General features: G+C 40.8%; 2 protein-coding genes across 8 annotated transcripts in view, besides 1 other annotated feature; one reads left to right on the top strand and one right to left on the bottom strand.

Annotated features, from left to right (window-relative positions):
* Nucleotides 1–22381, top strand: part of USP50 (ubiquitin specific peptidase 50) — a 53642-nt gene that overhangs the window by 25467 nt on the left and 5794 nt on the right. The window contains exon 7 of one of the 5 annotated variants that reach the window (NM_203494.5): nucleotides 20363–20638. The exons of the other annotated variants lie outside the window; for them this stretch is intronic. Within the exon in view, the coding sequence (NP_987090.2) occupies nucleotides 20363–20431 (69 nt within the window). The 3' untranslated portion in view covers nucleotides 20432–20638. Of the gene's footprint in view, nucleotides 1–20362; nucleotides 20639–22381 lie in introns of those variants that run through there. 5 annotated transcript variants of the gene reach the window in all.
* USP8 (ubiquitin specific peptidase 8) overlaps nucleotides 6779–22381 on the bottom strand; it is a 90017-nt gene continuing 74414 nt past the window's right edge. For all 3 annotated transcript variants that reach the window (NM_001128610.3, NM_005154.5, NM_001283049.2), the window contains one exon: nucleotides 6779–22297. In NM_001128610.3, coding sequence (NP_001122082.1) covers nucleotides 22112–22297 — 186 coding nt within the window. In that variant the 3' untranslated portion in view covers nucleotides 6779–22111. The remainder of the gene's footprint in view (nucleotides 22298–22381) is intronic.
* Nucleotides 11832–12066: a silencer, noted in NCBI's record as "fragment chr15:50801331-50801565 (GRCh37/hg19 assembly coordinates)". NCBI's record gives its function as "represses an EF-1alpha promoter that drives an FKBP-Casp9 reporter gene in an ReSE screen in K562 erythroleukemia cells {active_cell/tissue: K562}" and the evidence as "EXISTENCE:reporter gene assay evidence [ECO:0000049][PMID:32094911]".

Raw genomic sequence — 22381 nt, 5'->3', positions numbered from 1 at the left:
CTTGGTGGCGGGCGCCTGTAATCCCAGCTACTCGGGAGGCTGAGGCACGAGTATCACTTGCACCAGGGAGGTGGAGGTTGCAGTGAGCTGAGATGGCGCCTTTGTACTCCAGCCTGGGCAACGGAGCAAACCTCCATCTCAAAACAAACAAACAAAAGAACCAAATTGGGGTATTTAAGGTTTCCATCACCTCAAACCTTTATCATTTCTTTGAGTTGGAAATATTTCCAATCTTCTAGCTATTTTGAAATATACAAATAATATGCAGTTATTGTCAACTATAGTGACTCTATTATGCTGTCAAACACTAGAACTTATTCCTTCTATCCACGTTTGTATCTATTAACCAGCCTCTCTCTTTATCCTCCCCAAGTTGTTCCCAGCCTCTGGTAACTATCTCTTTACCTCCATGAGATGAACTTTTTTTAGGCCTCACATATGAGTGAGAACATGCAACATTTGTTTTTCTGTGCCTGGCTTATTTCACTTAACATGACGACCTTCAGTTCCATCCATGTTACTGCAGATGATGAGATTTCATTCTTTTTAGGAATGAAGAATATTCCTTTTTTTTGGCGGGGGCGGGGAAGAGACAGAGTCGGCCAGTTGCAGTGGCTCACACCTGTAATCCCAGCACTTTGTGAGGCCAAGGCAGGCAGATCACTTGAGCCCAGGAGTTTGAGACCAGCCTGAGCAACATAGTGACACCCCGTCTCTACAAAAAATAAACATTAGCTGGGTATTGTGGCATGTGCCTGTAGTCCCAGCCACTCAGGAGGCTGAGGTGGGAGGATCACTTGAGCCCAGAAAGGTCGAGGCTAAAGTGAGCCGAGACCATGCCACTGCACTCCAGTCTGGGTGACAGAGGGAAACCCTATCTCAAAAAAAAAAAAAGGGTCTCTCTCTGTTGCCCAAGGCTAGAGTGCAAGTGGTGAAATCATGGCTCCATTACAACCGCAAATTCCTGGGCTTAAGAGATCCTCCCACCTCAGCTTCCCGAGTAGCTAGGACTACAGGCATAGGCCACCATGCCCAGCTGAGTTTTTAATTCTTTTTTGTAGAGACAGAATCTCACTATGTTGCCCTAGCTGGTCTCCAATTACTGGCCTCAAGTGATCCTCCTTGTCTTGACCTTCCAAAAATGTTGGGATTACAGGCACAAGCAGCTACTATGGCCAGCTCGTATCTTGGATGTCGTGAATAGTGCTGCAATAAACATGAGGGTGCAGGTATCCCTTGGATATGATTTTCTTTCCCTTGGATAAATGCCCAGTAGTGGATTGCTGGATCATATAATAGTTCTATTTTTAGTTCTCTGAGGAATCTGCATGCTGGTTTTCCATAACGGTTGTACTAATTTACATTCCCACCAACAGCATATAAGAGTTCCCTTTTCTCTGTATCCTTGCCAGTATTTGTTATTTTTCATCTTTTTGCATTCTAACTGAGGTGAGATGATATTTCAGGGTGGCTTTTTTTTTTTAAGAGACGGAGTCTCGCTCTTTTGCCCAGGCTGGACTGCAGTGGCACTATCTCGGCTCACTGCAAGCTCCGCCTCCCGGGTTCATGCCATTCTCCTGCCTCAGCCTCCTGAGTAGCTGGGATTACAGGTGCCCGCCACCGCACCCGCCTAATTTTTTTGTATTTTTAGTAGAGACGGGGTTTCACCGGGTTAGCCAAGATGGTCTCGATCTGCTGACCTCGTGATCCACCCGCCTCGGCCTCCCAAAGTGCTGGGATTACAGGCGTGAGCCACCGCACCCGGCCTCAGGGTGGCTTTGATTTGCATTTGTCAGATGATTAGTGATGTTGAACATTTTTTCATATAGCTGTTGGCTATTTGTCATCTTTTGAGAAATGTGTATTCATGTCCTTTGCACACTTTTTTTTTATTGTATTGTACTGATTTTTTTGAGACAGAGTCTCGCTCTGTTGCCCAGGCTGGAGTGCAGTCATGTGATCTCAGCTCACTGCAGCCTCTGCTTCCCAGGTTCAAGGGATTCTCCCACCTCAACCTCCCGAGTAGCTGGGACTACAGGGGTGTGCCACCATGCTTGGCTACGTTTTGCATTTTTAGCAGAGATGAGATTTCACCATGCTGCTCAGGCTAGTCTCAAACTTCTGACCTCAAGTGATTCGCCCGCGTCTGCCTCCCAAAGTGCTGGGATTACAGGTGTGAGCCACCACGCCTGGCCCTTTGCCCACTTTTTAATGGGATTATTTCTTTTTTTGTTGTTGTTGAGTTGTTTGAGTTCCTTGTATATTCTGGATATTAGTACCTTATCAAATGAATAGTTTGCAAGTATATTTTCCCCATTTTACAGGTTGTCTCTTCATTCTGTTGAATGCTTTCTTTGCTATGCAGAAGCTTTTTAGTTTAACATAGTCCCATTTGTCTGTTTTTCAATTTGTTGCCTGTGCTTTTAAGGCCTTAGCCATAAAATCTTTGCTTAGACCAATATCCTGAAGCATTTTCTTTGTGTTATCTTCTAGTAGTTTTATCGTTTCAGGTCTTATGTTTAAGTCATTAATCCAGTTTGAGTTGATTTTTTTTTTTAATGTGGTGAGAGATGGGGGTCTGGTTTTATTCTTCTGCATATGGATATCCAGTTTTCCAGTACAATTTATTGAAGCAGGTGTCCTTTCCCCATGGTATGTTCTTGGCACCTTTTGAAGAATCAGTTGGCTGGGCTGGGCGCAGTGGCTCATGCCTGTAATCCCAGCACTTTGGGAGGCCGAGGTGGGCGGATCACGAGGTCAGGAGATCGAGACTGCGGTGAAACCCCGTCTCTACTAAAAATATAAAAAAAAATTAGCCGGGCGTGGTGGTGGGTGCCTGTAGCCCCAGCTACTCAGGAGGCTGAGGCAGGAGAATGGTGTGAACCCAGGAGACGGAACTTGCAGTGAGCCAAGATCGCGCCACTGCACTCCAGCCTGGGTGATGGAGCGAGACTCTGTCTCAAAAAAAAAAACAAAAAAAGAAAAAGAAAGAAAAATCAGTTGGCTGTAAATACATGTATTTATTTCTGGGTTCTCTATTCTGTTCCATTGGCCTATGTGTCTGTTTTTATACCAGTACCATACTGTTTTGGTTACTATAGTTTTATAGTATATTTTAAAGTCAGGTAATGTGATGCCTTTCTTCTTTTCTGATATAGGTGTTTATTGCTATAAATTTCCCTCTTAGAACTGCTTTTGTTGGCTGGGTGTGATGACTCACGTCATTAATCCCAGCACTTAGAGGGGCCAAGGCTTGAGCCCAGTAGTTAGAGACCAGCCATGGTGAAACCCTGTCTCTACAAAAATTGAAAAAATTACCTAGACATAGTGGCACATACCTGTAGTTGCAGCTACTTGGGAGGATGAGATGGGAGGATTACTTGAACCCAGGAGGTTGAGGCTGCAGTGAGCCATGATCATGCTACTGTACTCCAGCCTGGGTGACAGTGAGACCAGGTCTCAAAAGAAAAAACAAACAAAAAAAACTGCTTTTGCTGCATATCATGAGTTTTTGTATGTTATGTCTCCATTTTCATGTGTCTCAAGGTATTTTATGATTTCCTTTTTGATTTATTTTTGGACCCATTGGTGATTCAGGAGCATACTGTTTAATTTCTACATATTTATGAATTTCCCATGATTTCCCCTGTTATTAATTTCTGGTTTAATGCCATTGTGATTGGAAAAGTACCTAATATGATTTCAATCCTCTTATTTTTTTTTTTTTGAGATGGAGTTTTGCTCTTGTTGCCTAGGCTGGAGTCCAATGGTGTGATCTCTGCTAACCATAACTTCTGCCTCCCAGGTTCAAGTGATTCTCCTGCCTCAGCCTCCCAAGTTGCTGGGATTACAGGCGCCCACCAACACACCTGGCTAATTTTTTGTATTTTTAGTAAAGATGGGGTTTCACCACATTGGCCAGGCTGGTCTTGAACTTCTGACCTCAAGTGATCCACCTGCCTCAGCCTCCTAAAGTGCTGGGATTACAGGCATGAGCCACCACACCTGGCCTCCGCTTACATTTTTAAAGTCTTATTGTATGACCTCTAACATATGATCCTGGAGAATATTCTGCATGTGCTTGAGAATAATGTTTATTCTGTTGCTATTGGATGGAATGTTCTGTATATGCCAGATCTGTTTGGTCTAAAGTATAATTCAAGTCCAATGTTTCTGTATTTTTTGTCTGGATAATGTGTTCATTGTTGCAAGTGGGGTATTGAAGTCTCCTACTGTTACTGCATTTCAGTCTCTCCTCTCATATTAATTAGTAATTGCTTTATATGTTTAGGTGCTCTAACATTAGGTGCATATATATTTATAATAGCTATATCCCCTTGATGAATTGACCATTTTATCATTATATAATGACCTTCTTTGTCTCAGTTTACAGTTTTTGACTTAGTCTGTTTTGTCTACCACTCTGTATATATATATATATATATATATAGCTACCACTCTAGCTTTCTTTTAGTGTCCATTTACCTGGAATATCTCTTTCCATTTCTTCACTTTCAGTCTATATGTATCCCTACTGCCTCTCGTAGCTAGTATATAGTTGGGTCTGTTTTTCATTTGTTTTTGATTTGGAGTCTCACTCTGTCGCCCAGGCTGGAGTGCAATGGCGTAATCTTGGCTCACTGCAACCTCCGCCTCCTGGGTTTAAGCAGTTCTCCTGCCTCAGCCTTCTGAGTAGCTGGGATTACAGGCGCCCGCCACCACGCCCGGCTACTTTTTGTATTTTTAGTGGAGATGGGGTTTCACCATGTTGGCCAGGCTGGTCTCTTTGGGCAGTCTGGTCTCGAACTCCTGACCTCGTGATCCACCTGCCTCGGCTCCCAAAATGCTGGGATTACAGGTGTGAGCCTCCACATCTGGCATGTTTGTTTGTTTGTTTGTTTTATCCATTTACACTTAAGGTAATAATTGATATTTGCTACTGCCATTTTGTAGTTTTCTGGTTATTTTGTAGAGCCTTTGTTTCTTCCTCTCTTGCTGTCTTCCTTTGTGATTTGATGGTTTTCTGTGGTGGTATGATTTGAATCCTTTCTTTTTAGGTTTTGGCTTTGTGGTTACCATGGGGATAACATAAAACATCTTTTACTTACTACAGGCTATTTTAAGCTGATAACAACTTAACATTTTAATAGCAATCAAAAACTATACTTTTACTCCCCCTCAACATTTTATGATTTTGATGTCAAAATTTACATATTTTTGTAATTTGATTGATACGTTAGCTTTAGTACATTCATTTGAACTGCTTTTATTAATCCATTGTGTAAGTATCTATCATTTCTCCTGTTGCTGGGCAGTTAGGTTATATCAAATATTTTGCTTTTAGAAACAGTACTGTAGAATGCATTGACACACACTTAACATGTGAAATTTTTGTATATGTGTATGCATATGTATGTTTTACCAGACAAGAGAACTACAGTCCTAAATCTCTCCTTTAATCTATTAATGCAGTAAATTACATCAACTGATTTATTCTTTAATTTTGTTTTTGCTAAAAGTGTTTAAATATATATATATATATATATACACATATATATTTTACATCTATTATCACAATTGAGAAAGTAACCTATAATTTTCTTTCTTAAACTGTCCTTTTCTGTTTTGGGGGTCAGTCTTATTAGAATAAGCCTCATAGTCTGGGTGTGGTGGCTCACACCTGTAATCCCAGCACTCTGGGAGGCTGAGGCAGGCAGATCATCTGAGATCAGGAGTTCGAGACCAGCCTGGCCAACATAGTGAAACCCCGTCTCTACCAAAAATACAAAAATTAGCCGGGCGTGGTGGCACATGCCCATAATCTCAGCTACTTGGGAGGCTGAGGCAGGAGAATGGCGTGAACCCGGGAGGCAGAGGTTGCAGTGAGCCGAGATCGCGCCACTGCACTCCAGCCTGGGCGACAGAGCAAGACTCCGTCTCAAAAACAACAACAACAACAACAAAACACAAGCCTCATAAAGTGAGTTTGTCACTCTTTTCTCTGGCACAGATTGTATAAAATAAAAATCTGTTTCTTGAAAATCTGGTAGAATTGAACAGGAAAACCATCTGGTCTTGGAATTTCGTTTTTCTTGGTGGGTAGATTTTAAAATACTGACTCAGGCTGTTTTAGCTATTATAGGTCTAGTCAAGATTTCTATTTCTTCATGTTTTTTAAAAAATACTTTTTTTTTTTTTTTTTTTTAGACTGTGTCTCTCTCTTTTTCCCAGGCTGAAGTAGTGGTGCACAATCTCGGCTCATTGCAACCTCCACCACCTGAGCTCAAGTGATTCTCGCATCTCAGCCTCCTGAGTGGTTGGGACGACAGGCAAGTGCCATCATGCCCAGCTAATTTTTTAAAAAAATTTGTAGGCCAGGGGTGGTGGCTCACGCCTGTAATCCCAGCACTTTGGGAGGCTGAGGCAAGCAGATCACGAAGTCAGGAGATGGAGACCATCCTGGCCAACATGGTGAAACCCCATCTCTACTAAAAATAAAAAAAATTAGCTGGGTGTGGTGGCATGCGCCTGTAATCCCAGCTACTTGGGAGGCTGAGGAAGAATCACTTGAACCCAGGAGGCGGAGGTTGCAGTGAGCCGAGATCGCGCCGCTGCACTCCAGCCTGGTGACACAGCGAGACTCCCATCTCAAAAAGAAAAAAAATTGTAGAGAAGGGTTTCTCCATGTTCCTCAGGCTGCTGTGGAACTCCTGGGCTTAAGCAGTCGGGCTGCCTCGGCCTCTCAAAGTGCTGGGAATACAGGTATGAGACACTGCCCTTGACCAAAAATAAACTTTATTGAAGTGAAACATATATACAGAAAAGTACACAAACCATGAGGATAAAACTTGATGGATTTTCAAGTGAACATACCCATGTAACCAGCAGAACAGAGTTTAAACAGAATGTTACCAGCACCCTAACTGTGCTTGTACCTGCCTTCGAGTCTGGAAAACCACTGACTTCTGGCAGGACAGATTTATAGATTTTTGCCTGATTTTATGCTTCGTATAAATGGAATTGTACAGTATATCCTTTTTTTGTGTCTGGCTCCTTTCATTCAAAATTATGTAATGTTCATCCATATTGTTGTTTATATTGTAATTTATTCATTCTCATTGCTGTATAGTATTCCATTGTATGAAAATACTACAATTTAGTAATTCATTCTACCATTCAGGAACTTTTGGGTAATTACTAGCTTTTGACTAATGCAAAGAGGGTTGCTATAAACATTCTTGTTTTTTGGTGAACATAGTGTACACAGTTCTTTTGAGTACATACCTAGGAGTGAAACTCCTGGTTCAGAAATACGCATATGTCTGGCTTTAGTACATACTGCTCAGTAGCTTTCCAAAGCGACTGTACCAATTCATACCCCCACCAGCAATGACTGGAAGTTTCAGTTGCCTTAAATCCTTGTTAACACTTGGTAGTCTTTTGTTCGTTTTGTTTTGGCCCTTCTGGTTGCCCATATAGTAGAATGGCATTGTGGTTTAAATAACTACTTAAATTTGTATACTTTCTTTTGTGAAATGCCTAAACAAGTCTTTTATTCTTTTTCCTATTCTGTGGCCTGCCTTTTTCTTATGGAATTGTAGTTCTTTTTAAATCTTGAGTGTACATTTTTAAATTACCTTCTGTGGCTTGATTCTTCACTCTTTTTTTTTTTTTTTTTTTTAGACAGTTTCGCTCTTGTCTCGAACTCATGACCTCAGGTGATCCACCTCCCTCATCCTCCCAAAGTGCTGGGATTACAGGTGTGAGCTACCGCGCCAAGCATACTTTTTCATTAAATATTTTAAAGATATATCCATATTGTTGCATGTGGTTATAATTTCACTAGCCTATGATGTATATTGTGTGAATATATCATAAATTATCCATTTTCCTATTGATATTTCATTGTTTCCAAATTTTTGCTGGCATGAACAACATTATGCAGACATTCCTGCATATATATGTGCATAAGAGTTTCTCTCATGTATATACTTAGGAGTGAGGTCACTTAGATCATAAAGTATGTGCATATTTAACTTTCTACAAGTGATTATACCAATACATACCCCTACCAGGATCATCAGACTTCTTAATTTTTGCCATCTAATGGATACAAAATTATCTCATTTTAGTTTTTCCTATTGTATGAAATATTTGTCTTTTGCACATTTTTTACAAACTGGGTTATTTTTCTTCTTATTGATTGGAAAGAGTCATTTACATGTTCTAGATCCTTGTTATATGTTACATGGGTTAGAAATAACTTTTTTGTTTTTGGTTTGTTGTACATGATCTTTTTGTTTCCCAACTTAAATAAAAAGAAGTTCTTAGAGATAGTTCACATACCACAGAATTCACCTTAAATGTGTTCAGTTGTGTTTTTTGTTGTTTTTGTTTTGTTTGTTTTTGAGACAGAGTCTGGCTCTGTCGCCCAGGCTGGAGTGCGGTGGTGTGATCTCGGCTCACTGCAACCTCCACCCCCTGGTTTCAAATGATTCTCATGCCCCAGCCTCCCAAGTAGCTGGGATTACAGGTGCACCACCATGCCTGGCTAATTTTTAAAAATATTTTTAGTAGAGATGTGGTTTCACCATGTTGGCCAGACTGGTCTGGAACTCCTGACCTCAAGTGATCTGCCCATCTCAGGGCCTCCCAAAGTGCTGGGATTACAGGTGTGAGCCACTGTGCCTGGCCAGTTCAGTAGTTTTTAGTACATTCACAGAGTTGTGCAGTTATCACCACAGTCCAGTTTTAGAACATTTTCGTTATCCCCAAAAGAAACCCTGTAACCCGTTCCTTCTCCCCCAGTCCATAGCAACTACTAGTCTTCTCACGTGCACTCTCTCTCGATCTCTCGCTATTTTTTTTTTTTTTAACAGAGTCTTGCTCTGTTGCCCAGGCTGGAGTGCAGTGGCATGATTTCAGCTCACTGCAACTTCCGCCTCCCAGGTTCAAGGGATTCTCGTAACTCAGCCTCCCGAGTAGCTGGGACTACAGGTGTATTTTTGTATTTTTAGTAGAGGTGGGGTTTCACCATGTTGACCAGGCTGGTCTTGAACTCCTGACCTCAAGTGGCGCACCCACCTTGGCCTCCCAAAGTGCTCGGATTACAGGCATGAACCACTTCTCCTGGCCTCTACTTTATATATTTCTATAGATGTGCCTATTCTGCGTATTTTTAAAATTTTATTTATTTTATTTTTTGAGACAATATCTCACTCTTGCTCAGGCTGGAGTGCAATGGTGCAATCTCAGCTCACTGCAGCCTCAACCTCCCTGGCTCAAGTGATCTTCCCTCCTCCCTCCCTCGAGTAGCTGGGACCACAGGTGTGCACCACCATGCCCCAATAATTTTTGTGTATTTTGGTTGAGATGGGGTTTTGCTATATTGCCCAGGCTGGTCTCAAACTCCAGACGTCAAGTGATCCACCTGCCTCGGCTCCCCCAGGTGCTGGGATTACAGGCGTGAGCCACAGTGCCTGGCCTATTCTGGGTATTTTAATAAACAGAATCATAGAATATATGACCTTCTGTTTTTATTTTCTTTTATTCAGCATAATGTTTTCAAGTTTCATTCATGTCATAGCATGTATCTGTACTTCATTCCTTTTTATTGCCAAATAATATTCCATTGTATAGGATATACCACATTTCCTTAATCCATCCAGTGATGGACATTTGGCTTGTTTCCACTTTTGGCTGTCATCAGTAATGCTGCTATGAACATTTATGTACAGGATTTTCTGTAAACATGTTTTCATTTCTGTTGGGTATATACCTAAGTGTGAAATTTCTGGGTCATATGGTAACTCTGGTTAATTTTTTGAGGAACTGCCAAATTGTTTTCCAAAGTGGCAGCAGCATTTTACGTTCCCACCAGCAACTGGAACTAAGGTTCCAGTTTCCCCACATCCTCAACCGAACTTGTTACTGCCTCTCATTTTTTATTCTATCCCATACAAAGTAGGTATGAACTGGTATGTCATGGTTTTGAGTTGCATTTTCCTAATGACTAATGATGTTGAGCATCTTTTCAAGTGCTCTCTCTCCAGTTTTTAAAATAAAACTTTGCAAACATTCAGAAAATCTGAAAGAATTGTACAGAGAACATTGGTGTACATCGGCCGGGCACGGTGGCTGACGCCTGTAATCCCAGCACTTTGGGAGGCCAAGGCAGGCGGATCACGAGGTCAGGAGATCGAGACCATCCTGGCTAACACGGTGAAACCCCGTCTCTACTAAAAATACAAAAAAAATTAGCCGGGCATGGTGGCGGGCGCCTGTAGTCCCAGCTACTCAGGAGGCTGAGGCAGGAGAATGGCGTGAACCCAGGAGGCGGAGCTTGCAGTGAGCCGAGATAGCGCCACTGCACTCCAGCCTGGGAGACAGAGCGAGACTCCATCTCTAAAAAAAAAACCAAAAAACAAAACATTGGTGTACATTGGTGTACATTTCAGCTAGATTCAGTTATTAACATTTAGCAGTGTATACACTTTTATTACTTTCACTCTCTATACATATATATGTGCACATCTATACACACGTATATCTAACTTTTTGCTGATTTAAATCTTGTATCGTGACACTTCATAGATCAAAATAATCCCTTAACCACATTCTTCTACATACCCACAATAGCAGAATTATATGTAAGAAAATTTAAAATTCCATCACTCATATTCATAGATTCATATTCAAATATCAATTGTCACAAGGTTTTTTTTTTTAGTAGCATTTTTTTTCAAAGACCAGAATCCATCCAAAATTCACAAACTGCATTTGGTTGTTGTATCTTATTGTAATTGCTGACAATCAAGTTTTAATTTGGTTGGAACATCAATCTTTTCTAGTTAGTCCTTTTCTGTGTCTCATTTAAGAAATCCTTTCCAACCCTGGAATTACAAAGATATTTACCTACATATCTTCCAAACATTTAAATTGTTTTGCACTTCTGACAAAAATGTAGTATAAATTAGGGATTCAATTTCATTTTTCTGCATATGAATAACCAAATGTCTCAGCCTCTTCTTTTCCTCAGTAACATATAATGCTGGTTTTCCTATGCTGTGTGTGTCTGTTGGTCAATTTGTTCACATTTGGGCTAATTCCGTACTGTATTAATTATAGCTATAAAATATTAAATTTATTAAATTAATATTGAATTAATTCTTAATTTAGCTTATGAATATTAATTATAGCTATAGCTTTGAAATAAACATTGATATCTGGCAGAGCAAGAACCATCATTATTCCCTAAGTCATTACCATCACAACTTTATTCTTATTTTTCAGTAGTATTTCGATTATTCCTGGCCCTTGTCAATTTCTGTAAAAAATATAGGTGTGAGCCATGTATTTCTCTTCAGTCATTTTGGTAACTTATTCTCCAGATATTTGTCTATTTCATCTAAGGTCTCAGTTGGCTGGCATAAAGTTTTTAGGGTATTAACAATAAATTTATTCAGGATCTGTAGCTATTACATGTTTTTTCATTTTTAATTTTATCGTTGACTTGTCTCTTTTTTATTTTATTTTATTTTATTTTATTTTTTGAGACGCAGTCTCGCTCTGTCGCCCAGGCTGGAGTGCAATGGCACGATCTCAGCTCACGGCAAGCTCCGCCTCCCGGGTTCAAGTCATTCTCCTGTCTCAGCCTCCTGAGTAGCTTGGGACTACAGGCGCCCGCCACCATGCCCGGCTAATTTTTTGTATTTTTAGTAGAGACGGTGTTTCACCGTGTTAGCCAGGATAGTCTCAATTTCCTGACCTGGTGATCCGCCTGCCTCAGCCTTCCAAAGTGCTGGGATTACATGAGCCACCGCGCCCGGCCGCCTTGTCTCTTATTCTCTAAATCTTACTATTGACGTCCAAGTTACTATTTTTGAGAGAGGGTCTCACTCTGTCTCCCAGGCTGGAGTGCAGTGGTGTGATCTTGGCTCACTGCAACCTCTGCCTCCCAGGCTCGAGCCATCCTCCCACCTCAGCCTCCCAAGTAGATGGAACTACAGGCACAACACCATGTCCAGCTAATTTTGTAATTTTTTTTTTTTTTTTTTTTTTTTTTTTTGTGACGGAGTCTCGCTCTGTCGCCCAGGCTGGAGCACAGTGGCGCGATCTTGGCTCACTGCAAGCTCCGACCCCGGGTTCACGCCATTCTCCTGCCTCAGCCTCCCAAGTAGCTGGGACTACAGGCGCCCGCCACCGTGCCCAGGTAATTTTTTGTATTTTTAATAGAGATGGGGTTTCACCGTGTTAGCCAGGATGGTCTCAATCTCCTGACCTCGTGATCCGCCCGCCTCGGCCTCCCAAAGTGCTGGGATTACAGGCGTGAGCCACCGCGCCTGGCCTGTACTCTTTTTTTTTTTATAGAGACGGGGTTTTGCCATGTTGCCCAAGCTGGTTTCAAACTCCTGGACTCAGGCGATCCATCTGCCTTGGCCTCCCAAAGTGCAGGGATTATAGGCATGAACCACTGTGGCAGGCTAACATCCAAATTATTTTGTCTTAAAACACCAACTTTTACCTTTTTTTAAATCTTCTGTATTACATCTTTGTTTTCTGCTTTATGGGTTATTCCTCTTACAGTGTTATCTCTTCCCTCTACTCTTTTAGGGTTTATTCTGTTATGTTTTAATGTTTTAAACTGAGTGTCCAGTGTATTAACACTCAGTCTATCCTTTAAGATATAAGTATTTAAAACTACAAATGTCTATCTCCCACTTTCTCTGCCTTTTTTTATTATAGAATATTTCAAACATATACAAAATTGGACAGCATAACAAACCGCCATGCATCCATCAACTAGCTTGCTGAAGCAAGATATTTGAATATAAAATAAATGATCAATTCATCTTAATACTGACCCACTCTCTTCTTGGCATCGTATTATTTTTAAGACATTCTCAGACATCAGTGCATCCCATGTTTTGATATAGTATTTTCATTACTATTTACTTCTAAGTGTTTTACTTTTATAATTTATTTATAAAGTTACTTAGAAGTGTTTTTTTAATTTCCAAAAGTATTGATTTTTTGTGGGGGTATCATTTTGTATTGACTGCTAATTGTATTGTGTTCAAAGACTAGGGTCTAAATTAAACTAATCTTTTTTTTTTTTTTTTTTTTTTTTTGAGACAGAGTCTTGCACTGTCGCCCGGGCTAGAGTGCACTGGCACCATCTCGGCTCACTGCAACCTCCGCCGCCCAGTTTCAAGCGATTTTCCTGCTTCAGCCTCCTCAGTAGCTGGGATTACAGGCAGCCGACACCATGCCCAGCTAATTTTTTGTATTTTTAGTAGAGACGGGGTTTCTCCATGTTGGCCAGGCTGGTCTCGAACTCCTGACCTCGTGATTCGCCTGCCTTGGCCTCCCAAAGTGCTGGGATTACAGGCATGAGCCACCGTGCCTGGCCTAAACTAACTCTTTTACATTTGTTGAGACAGTGCACTTCTATTTCAGGAGTCAGATACTCATCTAAGTATATATTGTAAAAGCTGTATCTATACTAATATTTTTGTCTGCTTGATCAATAGTTGAAATCTTCCATTATGATGGTAGACTTGTCAAAACTTCCCTATAGTTCTGTCATTTGTTTTTAACAAGTCTGTTTTGTTAGGTAGGTAGCAGTTTCAAATTATACAATTTGGGTGATTTAAACCTTTTTTCATTATAAAGTGACTCATTTACAATGCATTCTATCTTAGGGACCATTTTAGCTGATGTATAGCTACTTCAGCTTTCTCTTGGTCATATCTACCTACGACAAGTTGAGCATCCCTAATCTGAAAATCCAAAATGCTCCAAAATCTGAAACATTTTAAGCACCAACATGATGCTCAAGGGAAATACACCTTTTCTGAGTTCTAAATGTTATATAGTGCATAGAACTGGATTTGTTGTTGTTGTTGTTTTGTTTTAGAGACAGAGTCTCACTCTGTGCCCCAGGCTGGAGTGCAGTGGCATGATCTTGGCTCACTGCAACCTCCACCTCCCAGGTTCAAGCAACTCTCCTGCCTCAGCTTCCCAAGTAGTTGGGATTACTGGCATGTGCCACCAGACCCAGCTAATTTTTGTATTTTTAGTAGAGACCGGGTTTTGCCATGTTGGCCAGGGTGGTCTGGAACTCCTGATCTCAGGTGATCCGCCTGCCTTGGCCTCCCAAAGTGTTGGGATTACAGGCATGAGCCACCACACTTGGCCTAAAACTGGATTTTTTTTTTTTTTTTTTTTTTTTTTTTTTTTTGAGATGAAGTCTCGCTCTGTCGCCCAGGCTGGAATGCAGTGGCACGATCTCGGCTCACTGCAAGCTTCACCTCCTGGGTTCATGCCATTCTCCTGCCTCAGCCTCCGGAGTAGCTGGGACTATAGGCGCCTGCCACCATGCCCGGCTAATTTTTTGTATTTTTGTAGAGATGAGGTTTCACCGTGTTGGCCAGGATAGTCTTGATCTCCTGACCTCGTGATCCGCCCCCCTCGGCCTCCCCAAGTGCTGAGATTATAGACGTGAGCCATCGCGCCTGGCTAGAACTGGATATTTAAAATCCAGTAAATATTTGGTAAATTTACTACATCCCATATATTTCAACTAGTAATAAATTCGGATTTACTTGTCGTCATCTTCTTTTGTGTTTATGTTAGCCTTATTTTTCTAATTCGGCAGTCCCCAACCTTGTTGGCACCAGGGACTGATTTTTGTGGAAGACAATTTTTCCACTGATGCGGTTTTTTTCCCATGGATGGGGGCCGGGGCGGGCATGGTTTTGGGATTAAACTGTTCCACCTCAGAAAATCAGGCAGTAGATTCTCATAAGGAGCACGCAACCTAGATCCCTCACATGCGCAGTTCACAATAGAGTTTGTGCTGCTGTGAGAATCTAATGCAGCAGCTGATCTGACAGGAGGCGGTGCTCAGGGTAGGTTTGCCGCTCGCTTCCTGCTGTGCAGCCAGGTCCTGAACAGGTCAGGGACAGGCAGCCTGGGGGGGTTGGGGACCTCTGCTGTGTTGTTTTCCCCTGTTGTTCTTGCTGCTACTAAACTGATAAAGCTTTCTTTATTTTCCCTCTACAACTTTGGAAGTTACACATTTTGATTCTTTAGTAATTATGCTAAAAAACGACAGCTTTCATACTTAAAGCCTAAAGTTAATCAAGATCTTTATACTCTGCTCCCAAAGAAATGGAAAGCTCTTAGAACACTGTAATTCTGATCACTGAACTACTGTTTTCAGCATCTTTTGTTTTTGAGACAGGGTCTCACTCTGTTGCCCAGACTGGAGTGCACTAGTGCAATGAATCATAGCTCACTACAGTTTTGAACTCTGGGCTTAAGGGATCCTCCTGCCTCTGCCTGCCAAGTAGCTGGGACTACAGGCATGCTACTGTGCATGGCCAACTTTTTTATTTTTTTTAGAGACCAGGTCTCACTATGTTGCCCAGGCTGGTCTCAAACTCCTGGGCTCAAACGATCCTCCTGCCTTGGCCTTCCAAAGTGCTGGGATTACAGGTGTGAACCACCATGCCCAGCCGGTTTTTAATTTTTTAATATGCCTCCAAAGGAGACATTATCATGGTTTTCTACTGTTCATATTGGGTTATATTTGCCCGGATCTTCATCAGTCTTTTTTGTTAATCACTGTCTATTATGTATCACTTCTTCCTTCATTGAGTTTTTAAAATTCATGTGGCATATATTTCAGTAGGCTTTTCAGTGAGGGTCTGTTATCCTGAAGTCTCTCAGTCTTTGAGAAGTCTTTAATTCACTTTCATTCTTGGATGATAACTAGAAATCAAATTCCAGATTGACAGTTATTTTTCTCTATTATTTTGAAGCTACTGTATTGTCTCTGATTTCTATGGCTGCTATGGAGAACTTCTACCAGCAGGTTAGATTCTTGTGGGTAAACTCTCTTTTTCTTTCTGGTTGCTTTTAAGCTTTTTCTCTTTGTCTCTGTTGTTCTGCAGTATTATTTTTATTTATCCCTGGCTCGCTGCATTTCCTAAATGTGAAGATTCATGTCTCATTAATCATTTTCAGCCATTATCACTTTTAATATTGCCTTGCTCCCCTACTCGATTCTCTCCTCCTAGAACTTCTACAGGACATACGCTGAATATTCTCATTCAATTTTTCATGCCTCTTAACACGTATTCTCCATCACTACTCCATTCTTGCTAATTTCCCCAACTTCATTTTATAGTTTATTCTTTTTTTTTTTTTTTTGAGATGGAGTCTCACTCTGTCACCCACACTGGAGTGCAATGGCACGATCTTGGCTCACTGCAACCTCCACCTCCCGGGTTCAAGCGATTCTCCTGCTTCAGCCTCTCAAGTAGCTGGGATTACAGGTGCACGCCACCAGGCCCAGCTAATTTTTTTTGTTTTTTTTAATAGAGACAGGGTTTCACCATGTGTACCAGGTTGGTCTTGAACTCCTGACCTCATGGTCCACCCGCCTCAGCCTCCCAAAGTGCTAGGATTACAGGCATGAGCCACCGCGCCCAGTCCGGTTTATTCATTTTCTGTGTCCTAATATCTTCATTAAGTTAATTTCCAGTACAGTTGTACCTCAGTATCTGCAGGGAGTTGGTTCCAGGATCCCTTTGACTATCAAAATCCACAGATGCTCAAGGGCCCTATATAAAATGGTGTCTTTTCTGGTGTTTTTTGTTTTTGTTTTTTGAGACAAGGTCTCATTCTGTTGCCAGGCTGGAGAGCAGTGGCTCAGTCACAGCTCACTGTAGCCTCGACCTCCTGGGCTCAGGTGATTCTCCCACCTCAACCTACCAAGTAGCTGGGACTATAGGCACGTGCCACTATGCCTGGTCAATTTTTGTATTTTGTGTAGACAGGGTTTTGCCATGTTGCCCAGGCTGGTCTACAACTCCTGGGCTCAAGCAGTCTGCCCACCTCCATCCCCCAAAAACGTTGGGATTACACGTGTGAGCCACCATGCCAGGCCTGGAGTAGTATTTGCATGTAACCTATGCACATCCTCCCATATACTTTAAGTCATCTCTGGATTACTTATAATATCTAATACAATATAAATACTATGTAAATAGTTGTTACACTGTATTTTAAAATATGTATATTTTTATTGTTGTATTATTTTTTCAAATCTTTCCCATCACATTAGTTGATTCTGAAGATGCAGAGCCCGTAAATATGGACGGCCAACTATGTTGTATTTCTCATTTCTGAAAATTCTATTTAGTTTCTAAAGTTTGTTTCCTTCTTCTAAATATATTTAAATATACTTTATTTGTAGCCTCTGCTTAATAATTCTATTATCTAAAGTCCTTGGGGGTTTAAATCTTATTGCCTTCTGACTCTTATGATAAATTGTTTCCTTGCATGTTCTATTATTTTGAATTGTGATCTCAACTTCATTGGGGTTTCATATGTGGATATCCTGTTAGGTCTGAGTTAACATGCAACAATCTAGAAATTCTGTTTCCTTCTGGCAACTGCCCTAGAAATACTTTTCATATTAAGTTCACAGGATTCGCAGACCACACAGGTAGTATAAATTTGAATCCCAAACTGGTGAAAAGGTAGGTCTATGGTGACAAATTCCCAGGAATGACTTTTATTCTCTGTACCATGAGTCCAAGCTAACACAAGCACTAGAGGGTGGATTTTGTTTTTTAATCCTTCCATTGAGGGTGAATGTCTTTAAAGGTCCTGGCTTTGTATGTGGATCTCAATCCAACTTCTCACCTTGTAGGGGGGCCTAAGACTTTACCTCGAGTGTCCTTGCGTGACCTTTAAAACCCGAGCATACTGGTTACAGAAACTAGGGACTGTCTTTACGCCCAGGCAGTCACAAAGCATAAACCACACACCATACTGTTGTTAAATTTCCTGTTTAGGGCTCCGCCCAGGCTGGAATGCAATGGCATGATCTCAGCTCACTGCAACCTCCATCTCCCAGGTTCAAATGATTCTGCCTCAGCCTCCCAAGTAGCTGGGATTACCGGCATGCGCCACCATGCCCAGCTAATTTTTATATTTTTAGAAGAGATGGATTTTCACCATGTTGGCCAGGCTAGTCTCAAACTCCTGACCTCAAGTGATCCGCCTGCCTCAGCCTCCCAAAGTGCTGGGATTACAGGCGTGAGCCACCAGGCCTGGCGGAACCTTGATCTTTTAAATGTGAATTTCAGATATTTCTATTACCTGTAAGGAGAGAGGTGGGGAAGACGAAGGTTGAAGGGAATATTGAATAAATAACTCCTGTGTACTAGCCCTCAATACATGAGATATTTGATAACAGCTATACAAAACAAGCCATGTTAATAGATGAGAAATTAAAGCTCAGAAAGGTCAAATAATTTCGCTAAGGTCACAATGTACTATTACACCCGAATTCACGTTGGAATTAACTAGTCAGATCCATTTTCATTCTGGACATGGTGGTGTATGCCTGTAGTCCCAGCTATTTGGGGGCCTGAAGTGAGAGGACTGCTTGTGCCTAGGAATTCATGTACAGCCTGGGCAACATAGCAAGAAACTGCTTCTAAAAATAAATAGGCTGGGTGCAGTGGCTCACGCCTGTAATCCCAGCACTTTGGGAGGTGGAGGCAGGTGGATCACTTGAGGTCAGGAGTTCAAGACCAGCCTGGCCAACACGGCGAAACCCCATCTCTACTAAAAATACAAAAAATTAGCTGGGTGTGGTGGTGCGTGCCTGTAATCCCAGTTACTTGGGAGGCTGAGGCAGGAGAAGAGCTTTAACCCAGGAAGCAGAGGTTGTGGTGAGCTGAGATCACGTCACTGCACTCCAGCCTGGGCAACAGAGCAAGACTCTGTCTCAAATAAAAATAAATAACTTTGGGAGGCCGAAGTGGGAGGATCCCGAGGTCGAGATCGAGACCATCCTGGCTAACACAGTGAAACCCCATCTCTACTAAAAATACAAAAAATTAGCTGGGCATGGTGGCAGGCACCTGTAGTCTCCCAGCTACTTGGAAGGCTGAGGCAGAAGAATTGCTTGAACCTGGGAGGCGGAGGTTGCAGTGAGCCGAGATCGTGCCACTGCATTCCAGCCTGGGCAACAGAGAGAGACTCCATCTCAAAAAATTAAAAATAAGTTAACAAATAATCAATTTTCTTCCTCTACAGCAGAGGTCAGCAAACTTATTCTGTTAAAGGCCAAACAGTAAATATTTTAGGCCTCATAAGCCATATGGTATTGGCTGCAACTATTCAGTTTTACTGTTGTATCATTAAAGCAGCCACTGAAAAGTGTAAACAAATGAGCATGACTGTGTTCCCATAAAACTTTAAGGACATTGACATTTGAATTTCATAAAATTTTCACATATAACAATACTATTATTACTTGGATCTTTTCCCCAACCATATAAAAATTTAAAACCCGTTGCTAATGCATGGGTCTTACAAAAACAGCCTGGAGTTGACCCACGGGCCGTGGTTTGCTGACCCTTATCATACACCATAACACCTCCTTGGAAGTACACCTCTCTAATGCCTTTGTTCCAAACAATACTGGGTTAGGAAAGACATGGAAAAAGGAAAATGAGATACATTATTTTTTGTACCCTATGGGGGATTGAGGGGTTGTTGCTACATAGCCCCCTCAATTTGTGCTGTAGCAATATGCAGTTAAGATCCTTATTCTAATGTTAAATGTCTCTTCTGTGGCTTATCCTAACTTTAAAAAAAAAAAAAAGAAGCCATCTTACGTAAATGAACTTACAATTTTAAGACAGGGTCTCACTCTGTCACCCAGGCTGGAGTGCAGTGGTACAATCACGGCTCATTGCAGCCTCGACCTCTCAGGCTCGAGAGATCCTCCCACCCCAACTTCCCAAGTAGCTGGGACTACAGGTGTGCACCACTATGCCTAGCTCATCTTTTTTTTTTTTTTTTTTTTCCTTTAAAAGATATGGAGTCTCGCTATTTTGCCCAGGCTGGTCTTGAACTCCTGGACTCAAGCAATCCACCTGCCTCAGCCTCCCAGAGTGTTGGGATTACAGGTGTGAGCCACTGTGCCCGGCCTGAATTATCTTCTTATTGTAAAATTTCCTTTAATGCTTAATAGTTGATGTATATTAAGTGCTAACTAAATGTTCACTGATAAACATTAATCAGATGCTGCTAAATATTGTCTTTCTTTATTCACAGATGATAGTCAATGGGCACAACATATAAGTAGTTACAATGAAATGAGAAGCAATATAGCAGTCAGGCTATATGCATGATTTAACAACAAAATTATCACTTCCTTTTAATTTAGAATAAGGGACAATTTAAAAAGCATCTCTTGGCCCTATCATTTCTGTTCCAGTAGTTAGTGTTCATATGTGAATACTAAGTTTGACATTCCTTTCTCCCATAGAACCATTTTGGTGATTTGGATGGTGGCCACTACACTGCTTTCTGCAAGAATTCAGTCACCCAGGCCTGATATAGCTTTGATAACACACGAGTCAGTGAGATTCCAGATACTTCTGTTCAAAATGCTATGGATCTCCTGTTCTATAGCTGCCAGCCCTTTTCCATACCAATACAAAAGCGTTAAGAGCCAGGAAAATGGTGTTTCCTGAACACTGCAAAACAAGCAGTCAGCATCTGGTGGTAGAGTTTTGCTTGGTCATTAAACTCTTAGAACTTACTTGCATCATTAACATTTTTATGCCTTGTGGGCATGTTATACAACCTTTCATCTTAAGATAAATCTGTCGTCCAGAAGATGGGTCTTGGTTCACTAAAAAAGGCAGTGTGAATATAATGCAATGCTAATGGATGCAGGCCTTCAAAACACTGCAATTATATAGTGAGTTCAGGTTTCAAAATTCAGTGTTTATCAGAAAATATCTCATAATCATATATATTCAACAAATTATTTTCCAAAGATACTCATGAAGCTAAACAAAAATAATTTTTGTTCAAATGGCTCGATGAGTTTAAGAATATGATTTGAATATATTTGATATAATAATTTAGCCAAGAAGTGGTCTCTTAGACTAATTGTAAAACATGAAAAGTTGTCAGCTTCACAATTTGAACCCCATCCTTTCATCTTCTCCCTGAGAGCCTGCTAATGGTGGTCTCTTTCTGAAGCACTTTTAGAATCTTATTTTTATATGGAGTGTTTTACTGACTATATATATAGCAACTGAGTCCCTCGGTTAAATAAATTATAAGCTCCTTTAACCCTCTTAATACATCACTCTGTAAAGATGTAGTTTATAATGCAGTTCACTTTGCAATCATGCCTGACTCCCGGCATTTTTACTTTAATATTTAGAATGAATATTCTCAATATGTGAGAATACTAGTCTTGAAAGAATGACTCTGGGTGTTATTATATAGCACGTGTGTATATAAAATCTATGGTTTTACTGTCCTATATTTGATAATACAATATTAAAGACAGAACACCCACAGGGTTATAAATTATTTTTCTCATTAAGATTTTAATGTAGCTGTAAATGAAATTCTCGTTTTAAAAAAATTAAAGTTTCCATTTTTTTTTTTAGAATAAAGATTTAGTGCACAAATACAGCCCAAAGCCAACAGAAAAATTGCTTTGCCCTGTCATTTCCCTAAGAAAGCACTGAAGTTAACTCAAAATAGGCTGAAAGAAAAAAAGCAATCCTCTGAGTTCTAGGTTTCACAAAAGGACCACGTGTTAAACTATGTACATCGATTTGATGTGCAAGTATGCAATAAATATGTACACATACATTCCTATCTGCTTTACATCATTCTAGAGTATTCATAGTATATCAAGATGGGATTTAGAAATGTGAAAAGGCCATAACAGTGAAAAGGAAAAAAAAAAGATAACAATAGTTTTTAGACCAGTCGAATAATAATGCTTAGCTAGTTAATTATTTTAACTTTGGAGCAGACTAAAAAAGTTGTTTTGAAATAAATGGTACCTGTAAGTGATGATTACTGCAATACTTGTTAAATGTTATTTGTCAGCACTGACCGGAATTATATAGTGCTAGTAACACAGCTCCCACTGTCCTAGAATTCCTCTAAATGGCCAGCTATAGCTACCATTATCCTGATAAGCATTTCAAGAGTTGTGTTGCTGAGCCTTTTAAAAGATAACTAGTTTATAACCTATGTCTCCTTATGTGGCTACATCAGTTACTCGTGGTCCCAATGAAGTATAAAAGAGGATATAAGCTGCTGAAGATTTCACAGAAGAAACGGAGATATCAGAAACTTCATGATCATCAAACTTAAACCACCGTTGTCTTGCTGCATTTTTACAATAGGCTGTGTAGTGGCCTCCATCCAGCCCACCGTAGTGATTCTGTGCCAAACAAGATAGAAAAAAAAATCAATTCAGTTAAAATTGTTATTTAAAATACGCCAATAGTTTCAAAGCTTTATGTTG

Source organism: Homo sapiens, chromosome 15, assembly GCF_000001405.40.
Source record: "Homo sapiens chromosome 15, GRCh38.p14 Primary Assembly".
Classification (NCBI taxonomy): Eukaryota; Metazoa; Chordata; class Mammalia; order Primates; family Hominidae; genus Homo; species Homo sapiens.
Note: the sequence above shows the minus strand (reverse complement) of the source record. Positions and strands in the feature narration are given on the sequence as shown.